At 40.9% G+C, this 10,977-nt stretch overlaps 1 annotated feature.

Moving 5' to 3' along the window:
• Nucleotides 9,967-10,468: an enhancer, noted in NCBI's record as "H3K4me1 hESC enhancer chr18:75791151-75791652 (GRCh37/hg19 assembly coordinates)". NCBI's record gives its function as "activates a minimal SCP1, AML or CMV promoter by ChIP-STARR-seq in naive H9 embryonic stem cells {active_cell/tissue: H9 hESC(naive)}" and the evidence as "EXISTENCE:reporter gene assay evidence [ECO:0000049][PMID:30033119]".

A 10,977-nucleotide genomic window follows, 5' to 3' on the forward strand; every position in this document is an offset into this window, starting at 1 on the left:
GGGTAACTGTCATAATTAACTTGGTGGTCAGCAAAGACCAGCCGCTATCTCAGCAAACTAATTTAGATTAGTCTGTATTTTATTTTCTTTTTGTCCCTAGATTTTTACACTTCCAATCAGATAATTGTACCATGGGTGAAAGCCAGTGTTCCCCCACGAAGAGTCCTGGGTTGTGAATAAAGAGTTCAACCTCAAGCCAGCAGGGTGAGCTCACATTCCACTCTGCCTCTCTCCGTGTTCACACCTGTGACATGAAGAGGCTGAATCTCCAAGGCTCAGTTGAGCTCAACATTTCTATGGTGCCATTTCTACATTTGTCATCATTCACAACAGGACCTGCTTGCCATCTTGGGCTATTCAACCTCCAGTCTATATTTGGATGCAAGGTGCTTTGAAACTGTGTTTAAGGATTATCTTAGGGCAAAATTCAAATGGAGTGCTATGTAGCAGTACAGCTGTAAAGTGGAATTGGCTTATAATCTCAGAGATCAAAATGAACACAGCCATTAAGAAACCTTATTCTTGTTTGCATAACCCTCTTAGTGAGTTTGCCTTGTGCTGGATATATAATCCACAAGATAGATGATTTCTGCCAACCATTACAGAGTGTTTATCAAATGCAGAAAGATTTTGCACAGTACATCTGTAAGTATTTCTCTTTGGAATTGAAATGGTTTGTCCATTCTTTGACATCAAGACCAGGAATTACCATTGTTCTTTTCTCTTCCCCCCCAGACAAGATCATAACTGGAAGCTGATGCAATCCAGGTATATGTTGGAGGACATTGATCTCTGTTTGTCTTCCTTTTTAGCATCTAGAACATACTTGTCATGTATACTAAAACATAAAATTTATTCTCTTCATAAAGTTTTACTAAATCAGCTGCAGAGGAAGATGTTATTGGCAGCTTTTTCATTACTGGCTATGGTAAAGCTGAAGTGTCTGATTATTTTTGTATTTAGGGCTTGTCCTATGTCTTGTGTGTTCAGTGATAAATAGAAGGCCATTTAGAATTCATGTTTCCCCTGAAACCTTTGTTATTCTTCGGAAGATCATTTTAAATTTACTTTATAATGCTTTTTAGGTATCAAGTGCTTTTAATTTTACAGAATCATGTTTCCAAGCTCTTTCACTATTATTAAAGATGTGTGAGATGTGTGTTATGGGAACTTAGAAAACAACAAAATTTTTTTTTTGTTTTTTTTTTTTTTGTTTTTTTTTGAGACGGAGTCTCGCTGTCGCCCAGGCTGGAGTGCAGTGGCGCAATCTCGGCTCACTGCAGGCTCCGCCCCCTGGGGTTCACGCCATTCTCCTGCCTCAGCCTCCCGAGTAGCTGGGACTACAGGCGCCCGCTACCAAGCCCGGCTAATTTTTTGTATTTTTAGTAGAGACGGGGTTTCACCGTGTTAGCCAGGATGGTCTCGATCTCCTGACCTCGTGATCCGCCCGCCTCGGCCTCCCAAAGTGCTGGGATTACAGGCGTGAGCCACCGCGCCCGGCCAAAATTTTTTGAACAGTTCATAGATTGGTGTAAGATTAGCATTACTCTAACAAGTACTTATCAGATGGATTTCAGATAAGAAACAGCAAACAAAATTATAAAATGGGATTTGGAAAGAAGGAAGATTTTAAAATATTTTGTTTCTTTTGCTGCCTCCAAACTTGAAATTTAAAATATACAACCACATTAAGGCATAACTGTCTTCTATTAGAAAGAACAATGAATGTAGAGTCAGAAAATCTGCAGAAGAATCAACCTTCTCTGTACCAGGAGGTGACCCTAGGTCAGCTTTGTAACTCCTGGAGGTTGCAGAGTGTGTGATGATCAAGCAAAACGTCATGATGTCAGGTAGAACCACGCATGCAGAAGCTGGTTAGTGAGTGTTTGTGGAGCAAACAAATCAATGAGCACAGAAATATAAACGTCATAAATTTTAGGAAAATGAGGGACCTTTCTCATGACTTTCAATTTACTAAACAACTACTTGGCCCTCTTAGCATTGCTCAGGAAAATCATTAAATAATATTAAATCATCATTACTGTCTCCATAAGTGTCTCATCCTGAAATATGAAACACAGAAGAACACTTCATACCACATCCTGAAATCAGGAGCCCGTGCACTTGTGAATTTCCATTTAGGGATGATATGTTAAGCCAGCAATTGTTTCCTGACCGTGATATTTACTACGCCCTTCACACGTCTCTCCTAATATGGTTTAAGCTGCTCTGGATTATGAATGTATCTCTTTAAGGCAGCGGTCCCCAACATTTTTGGCACCAGGGACCGGTTTTGTGGAAGACAATTTTTCCACAGACTGGGAGCGGGCATGGTTTCAGGATGATTCAAGCACATTACATTTATCATGCACTTTATTTCTATTATTATATTGTAATATATAATGAAATAATTATACAACTCACCATAATGCAGAATCAGTGGGAGCCCTGAGCTTATGTTCCTGCAACTAGATGCTCCCATCTGGGGGTGATGGGAGACAGGGACCCCTGCTTTAGGGTACATTCTTTGATTCCATAAAATTAATTTCATATGTCTCCAGAACTCAAGGACAATTTTTTTATTTATTATTTTATTGCATTTCAACTTTCGTTTTAATAACCATTATTATTATAATATTAATATGTTTAGTATTATTGTTATAAAGCAGAGGAGAAAGTAGAAATCTGTATTTGCTGCTTTCTACGTGCCAGGCAATGTGCTGCACAATGTAGAATAGAATCTGATTTATTCTTCCCACAGCCAATGAACTAGATCCCTGTTTCACAGATTAGAAAACTGAGACCCAGAGAAACTAAGAAAATTTCCAAGGCAAGTAGAAAGGCCAGGAAGTTAACTCAAGTCATGTGACAGTTTACAACCACTTTCACGTCATGGTCCTGAATTTCAATTTTTAAATTTATCGTTGTTATAATCACAGGTACCTTGATTCTCTAAAGCGATTGAAATAAGGGAGCGTATGTATACACATAATGGAAAAATAAGCTTATTTTCAATCATTAACAGGGTGCAAAAATTAAGTGTTCATATATGTGTCTAAGGATCTGGATTAATTGTGAGTGGATTTTGGTAATCAAGAAAAATGGCTCATGAATTGCCCTCATATGAAAATTTTATTTCAAAAAGTGAATAGTAATGGATCTCAAAAACTGATTTCTCCTGTCCAGCTGAAACTGAGCCATTAAGCCAACATCTCCTCAGTTCCTCTACCCCACCAGGCTCTGGTAAATAAACATTGTTCTACTCTACTTCTATGAGTTCAACTTATTTTGGATTCCACATATAAGTGAGATCAGAGAGTATTTGCCTTTCTGTGCCTGGCTTATTTCACTTAGCACAGTGTCCTGCAAGTTCATCCACGTTGCTGCAAATGACAAGATTTCCTTCTTTTTATGGCTGAGAAGTATTCTTTTGTGCACATATACCACATTTTTTAATCCATTCATTGGTGGATGGACTCTTGGGTGGATTCCGTAACTTGACTACTATGATTACTGATGCAACAAACATGAGAAGGCAGATGTGTCTTCAATGCCCAGATTTCAAATCTTTGGATCTACACTTAGAAGTGGAATTGTTAGATCATGTGTTCATTCTGTTTTTAGTTATTTAAGGAATCACCATACAGCTTCCATAATGGCTGCAGTAATTTTTGATATACACACATCAACTCAAAATGGGTGAAAGACTCAAACCTAAGACTAGAAATTGTAAGACAACGAGAGGAAAACGCAAGGGCAAAACTACATGGCAGTGGTCTGGGCAAGGATTTTTTTGGATTTGACCCCAAAACTCAGGCAACAAAAGCCAAAGTAAACACATGGTATTACATCAAACAAAAAGACTCCTGCACAGTGAAGGAAGCAATGAATGCAGTGAAGAGGACAATCCACAGATTAGGAGAAACGATTTCCAAGCCATAGCTCTGAAAAAGGGTTACTATCCAAAATACATGAAGAACTCCAACAACTCAATAGCAAGAAAACAACCTCATTAAAAATGAACAAAGGACCCAAATAGACATTCTCAGAAGAAGATGAATAAATAGCCAACAGATATATTTAAAAATGTTCAACATCACAAATCATCAGGGATATGCAGATTAAAACTACAATGAGATGTCACCTCACTCCTGTTAGAACAGCTGTTTTATCAAAAAGACAGAAGATCACAAGCGAGGATGTGAAGGAAAGGGCACACTTAACAATGTTAAGTGTTCTGAGATCTATCTGCACAACATGGTAACTATAGTTAATAGTAGTGTATTATACATTTTTAAGTTGCTAAGATATCAAATTTTAAATGTTCTTACAACAAAAAATGATTAGTATTTGAGGTGATGGATATATTAATTAGTTTAATTTAATCATTCCACATTGTGCACACACATCATAACATCCCTTTGCACACCACAAATATATAGAATTATAATTTGTCAACTTACAATAAAAATATTCATTTATTATACCTGGGTAAAGCCTTCTAGTTGAATTTCTAGAAATTAAAAGGAATGAAATTATTACCTGAGTAAAACATCCATTTTTAAGTCAAATAGCTTTTATTTCTTTGCCTTCAACAAATTGAAGGACATAAATTATTAGTTTGCATATCACAACTGACAAAGATAGTTTTGATGATACCTCATTATGTGATTTTTCAAATAATTTAGTGACATTGTCATAACAAAACTCTTGTCATCGAAGAAAAGAAAAAAGGCCAATCGCAGCTTTGGTTTTTAATAGACAAAGCATTCGTTAGTAATGCAAATATTCCTTCTCCTCTTCCATCCTCTTACCCACATCAAACTAAGTATTTAAAATATCTAATGATTTTTAAAGTCAGAAAGAAGGAAGGGAATAGCTCCATGACTAAGAAAGAAGTGTCTGGATGAGAATTACCAAGCGTGAGACATAAACACCATCTCAAAGGTAAGAAACTTGGTTTGAAGAAAGGCAAACCTGGTTAACAGGGCACGTTTTATTTGAGGAGTAACCTTGGTATAAATTTCGTGCATTCTCAGCAGCAGAGGTCCACCTAAAACGGTCCCCTGGCTGTCACCATGGATTGTCAGCATTGGGTGAATAACACCCTCAGCGAGAGACACCCAGTGGAGAGCCTGCAGCACTAAGTGGTTTTTTGAGCAACTCAGGGTGAAAACAATTTCACTGTGTCAGGGAACCAACCACATACATGACAAGAAGGCAACTTCATGCCTGTTGTGTCCAGTGGTGGCCTCTGCAGAACACCGTCTCTTGCCACCACCCTCAGGAGCATGAGAATCCATTTTTTCTACAAGCTTTCTCACTCAGTTCTGGAGTCTTTACAGTAGTAGTACTTGTAATTATAAAAGTGAAACTAGCTAAGCCTTCTTGAGTGCTTGACATGTGTAAGGGGCTGAATGTTCTACATGGATTATCTCATTTCGTCTCTCAATGGCCTCCTAAGGGCAAACTGTTACAGACTCATTTCAAAGGTAATGCAATCAAGAATTCCAGAGATCAAAAGAATTGCTCATGATCAGAAAAAGGGCCATATCTCAAACCCCAAGCCAAACCCTAACCAAAGCCATATCTATAGGATCCTGTAGCTAAAATAACACCAAGGCACAACCATCCCTTAAAAATGATAGCTCTTTCTATATAAAAATTAAATTTGGTGGGTTTAACATGACCATGTATCTCTGATGGCTCCATAATCACGACTACAAATTACAATGAAGGAAGAAAAATGGAAGGAAATAACCCATGTGAGGACAGAGAAAATAGTAGAGGTGGCAATTGCATCCAATACAGTTCATTGAACTTACATGCTGGGGAGAGCATGGCTGGGCCCTAGAGGACCCAGTGGGGGATGGAAGTTGCAGGTATGTGGCCTGCAGATGCCTCACCCTGCAGAGTGCTGGACAAGACAGGAGCCTATGGAAGTTCCTATAGGGAGCCATGGACCCTCCAGGTCCCGTCGCCTCCTTGGGCACCACACCTCCAGGAGGTGTATTCCCTGAAGAAATTAAGCTTGGATTTGGAAACACCAAGCATAGAGAAGAGCAGAGGGGCAGAGAAACAGGCAGGTGATGTCAACACTTGTGTAAGGACCAGACAGGGCCTCAGCTCTCTCTTCTCTTCTCCCACCTATTGGCAGAACGGGTTGCTCACAGAGGAGCCCATGTGGCAAGTTCTCTCTAGACACACATACACACGTACACACACGCATATACACATGCGCACACATAAACGTGCACAAATATACACATTTGCACATACACATATACATGCACACACCCAGGCGCACGCACGCACACACACACACACACACACACACGCTAAAGCAAATGTTAGAAAATTCCTCTTTGCACAAAACTGTCCCAGAAAAAAAAAAGGTGGTTTATGACATTTGGGTTTTCCACAAAGTAAGAAGGACCATCTCCCACTGAATCTTGCTGTTAACCCCCTCAGTAAGCTGGCCTGTCTGCATGCACAAAGCTGACAGTCACAGCAGACTCAGCCACCGGACATCAGCAGGAGGCTTCCCATCCATGGGACAGAGAAAGTCAAGAAGTTCAGGAGACACATAAACCTTTACCTCTCCCAGCTGTGGTTAAGAAGATGCAGGCCTCTGGAAGTGCAGACACAAGTGGTATAAGCATTCCTGCAGGGTGGTTTGCAGCTTTGAAATTTTACATTCCGATAATTCAGATATAATATTCACATTCACATATGACATGCCACCCCTAGAGAGACCATGTCCCCGGACTAGTGTTTTCTTTGTGGATATGTGTGTTTGTGTGTGCATGCATGCTTTTGAATGTGTTTTAACAAAAGCTAGGAAGAGACAGCATGAAGCTAACACAAATCCACCTCCTCTAAGACCTGAAAGAAGCTAACAAAGGTTCCACACGGGCATTGGTGGAGGCCTGGACTCAGGAAGATGTAGCAAACTTGTGTTTGTTGGAGGTGGAGGGCAGGAAAACCCAGCAGCCTGGGGTTTTTTTTATATATATAAGATAATACTATATTATATTATTTTATATATATATATTTTTCTCACACACATCCCATTATGTTCCACTGGCTCTGTTTCTTTGTTTTTATATTCCATTGGGCAACCTTACAACCTTAAGCATAACATATTTTTTTATGAGACAAGCTCTTACTATGTTGTCCCGGTTGGTCTCCAACATCTTGCTTCAAGCAATCCTCCTGCCTCAGCCTCCTAAATCACTGGGATTATAGGTGTGAGCCACCACACCCAAACTAGAGTAGCATTATATTTTGAGAAATTTTCCTTGTGCTTTAAAACCTTTATACATGCTTATATTCCTTGATCCAACAATTCCTCTAGGGAGACTTGAATCTAAGTCAATATTCAGAGAATGCACACAAATACAGGCACCAATTTGTTTCCCTCAGTGCTGTCCATAATAGTAAAACACCGGAGAAAAGAAAAAATTACACATGTTGGCTACTGGATGAAATGATAGGCAACTATCAAATTAGTGATATAGATGTATATTTGACCTCAACATGATGTTTGTGATTTATTACGTGAAGGAAGCATGTTATAACAATGTTTAGAGTATGTGTATTGAAGCGTAAGTGTGTATGATTTTTCCCTAGTATTCATTTAGTTATAGTGTACTCAGGAAAAAAAAATGAAACCATTACTATTTGAAAACAACAAAAGCAAATTTCATAGGCAACAGCCATGTACATAATTTAGGGGTAGATATACCTAGAAATTTCTGAGCCTATTGAAAATATCCCTCTGCTCTTTAATCCAAGAAATCAGGGTTGCTTCCCCAGGTTCCCAAATTCCTGGAGTGTCTTTTTAGTGCTGTAAGACAGCAGCTGAAGCATTCAAGGAGATTCAGCACCCAGACTGTCCATACCATCCCAGGCCGATGGCTCAATCCCCTGTGCCCCTAGCAGGGCCCTGCTCTAGAGGCTGCACGTCTGGGCCTCTGGAGTCTGATGGGCCTGGGCTCAGACCCTTGTGCTTCTCTGCACCCACGAGCAGAAGACCGGGGTGGATTGTTTTCTCAGAGCTGCTGTTTGCGAATTCTGGAGATCATTTGTGTGGATTAAATGAGACAACAGATATTTGGTATCAGCATATAGAAAAGTTAGATGTTCTTCAAGGGGGACTTATTCTGCATAAGCTATCTTTTGGGGGCAAATGGCACATTGTAGCTGGTTTAGCCCATGGCAACTGTTATCATTGAAAACCCATGCAGCTTTCTTCCAAGTCTCACCCCGTGTGGCTCTGTGTGAGGCGCACACTCTATAGGTGGCTCATTCACTTTTTTTTGGTTGAGGAGAGAAACATGGTACCACGCACGCGTGCAATGTGAAAACCTATATCAGATCCCCCCTTTCAGAAATGGAAAGCTCCTTAACTAAAATTGTTTTATTTTGGTGTAAAGGGCAACCATCCTGGTGCCCCCACTTTTCCAAAGCTCCTTGCTTTGTCCCCATTTGGTTGCATCAATGAGGTATATTTGGAAAATTATAATTCTTAAGTAAGCGTGTGGCTTTCTCTATGAAGATTTATGAAATAAATGTTTTGCTTAGTTTTTCTTCATGTATTGTTCCTTAAAAAGACAAACCACTGGCCAGACATGGTGGCTCACGCCTGTAATCCCAGCACTTTGGGAAGCTGAGGTGGGCGGATCACAAGGTCAGGAGATAGAGACCATCCTGGCCAACATGGTGAAACCCTGTCTCTATTAAAAATTAAAAAAAAAAAAATTAGCCAGGTGTGGTGGTGCGTGCCTGTTGTCCCAGCTACTGAGGAGGCTGAGGCAGGAGAATTGCTTGAACCTGGGAGGCAGAGGTTGCAGTGAGCCAAGATCATGCCACTGCACTCCAGCCTGGGTGACAGAGTGAGACTCCATCTCAAAAAAAATTAAAAAAAATAAAAATAAAGGACAAACCACTTTAATGACTGTCACATGATTTGCAACAGTGAGATTTATGATGGAATCACCACTGCGCGCACGTGAAGGCTGCCTTTGTCCTGGCCCCACCCCTCTGGGAGGTGGTGCACCCTGAGGCCCTGTGGGACGTTTCTTATTGGGTGAATACCATTACCTCGTGTTGTCATAGGGTATGATGTATTGATAGCTATGTCTGAATTTTAATAATATTGTCTTGTAAGAAAAGGCAGGGAGAAACCGGGGATATATTATCATATTGAATAATGTTAGCTCTCTACATGTAATACACAATCTTAAAATAATACTCAAGATTGGCTGCAGAGTCATATAATTGTAAAGATTTGTTAAATAGTTTATTTTTTAATGTGAAGTTTTACATATTTCATGGAAAATATCTTAAATTAGTCAATGATATTATATATTATTTATATGTAAATTATTTTTATATGATTTTTCATATATGATATGTCATTACTTTTCATATATCACTATATATAAATTTAATCATCAGATGGATTTTCTGATCATAAAAGCAAGGTATAATATAATCTTGCTTTAATTTAAGTTAATCTAGCAAACTTTAAGCTCAATTCTTTTGTTATTATGACAGACAACCTAGGATGGATTGTTTTAATCTTTATTTCAGAATTAAGGGACAATTATTGCCTCTGGTATTTCTGAACTCTGACCCTGGTTTCCTCATCTGAAAAACGGGAATAGAAAATCCTAGCTCATCTGTTTCTTGGGAGCCTCTGATGTGTCCAGTACCACAGGCAGCCCTGAATGGGAGCTTTCTTCCCATCTGAAATCAGTTCTGGCAGATTTGGCCGCACTCTTCTGGGTCTCAAGTGCTGTGTGCCCTGGATAAACCTTCACTGAAATTCTAAGTCCCCTCACACTTCTCCCAGGGATTAGGGGGGCTTGAGAGCCAGGGGAGCAAGCAAACACTTTTTCTTGTTTCCTCTTTCATTCTTCAACTCCAACATCCCCACCAAAGTTCTCCCTGCCGTCCACTGCACTTGTAACCGTGGACAGGACCGTGTTTATGTTGTCAAAATTTAATAGCTTTTATGCGTCCTGCCTAAGTCTAGCTAAGACTTTAGCAAATATGATACCCTATTATTTTTCAGGAAAAAACACAAAGAACAAAAAACACTTTCACAAATGCCCACCCCCCCACACCCCTGAGGACTGTGTACCCTGCCTTCCTCACGGGCACCCAGGCTGGGGCCTTCTTCTTGGTGACCCCCGGGCTCAGGGACTCGCTGGCCACTGTCCCAGCCCTTCATCGCCAGGCGTCTCCTTTCTAGGAGTGTCCCCACCTGCTGTGCCCCCCCGGCTAATTCCGTCCTCTCAGAACACACAGAATGACCCCGCCTTGCCTCCAAATTCCCTCCCCCAGCCCATTTCTCTGCCTCCACACTCACAGCAAATGTCCCTTAACGAGGTGTCCACAAGGCCTCCCAGGTCCTCACCTTACACTCTCGAGTGCCCTCTCTAATCAGGCCCCACAGGAAGCACCTGAGTCCACGAAGATCAGCCCCCAGTTCTCAATCCCAGGGGCCCTCCATGCTCTTCTTGCTCTTCTCCCCAGGAGCAGCACCGGGCTTGCCAGGCTTCTGCTCCAACAGGCTTTCCCCAGCTGGGCCCCAGGAGACCACCACTGTCCATGCCCAGCCACTCACTGGCTGTGTTTGCAGCCCCAGCCCCACTCCCTGGGCAGACTGTGGATGCTGCTTCCTCATTAGCTTCTTCAGCGTCCCGCTAGAGCATAAGCACAATGGCTGCACGGGGTTTGGCTGATGATTTGACTGTGGGATCCCCAAATCCCACAAGTGTGTCTGGTACACAGTAGAGGGTAACTACTTAATAAAGTAAGGAAGCACAGAGTTTCCCACGAGCAGTGATGATTGTTCATGGCCGCGCACATTATCTGTGTGTGTGTTTTCATGTATGTTTACACACGTGTTTATGTGATGTCATATGTGCAGCTATATGTGCTTGCATGATTAAATGTGTGTTGACC

Source organism: Homo sapiens, chromosome 18 (assembly GCF_000001405.40).
Source record: "Homo sapiens chromosome 18, GRCh38.p14 Primary Assembly".
NCBI classification, from domain to species: domain Eukaryota; kingdom Metazoa; phylum Chordata; class Mammalia; order Primates; family Hominidae; genus Homo; species Homo sapiens.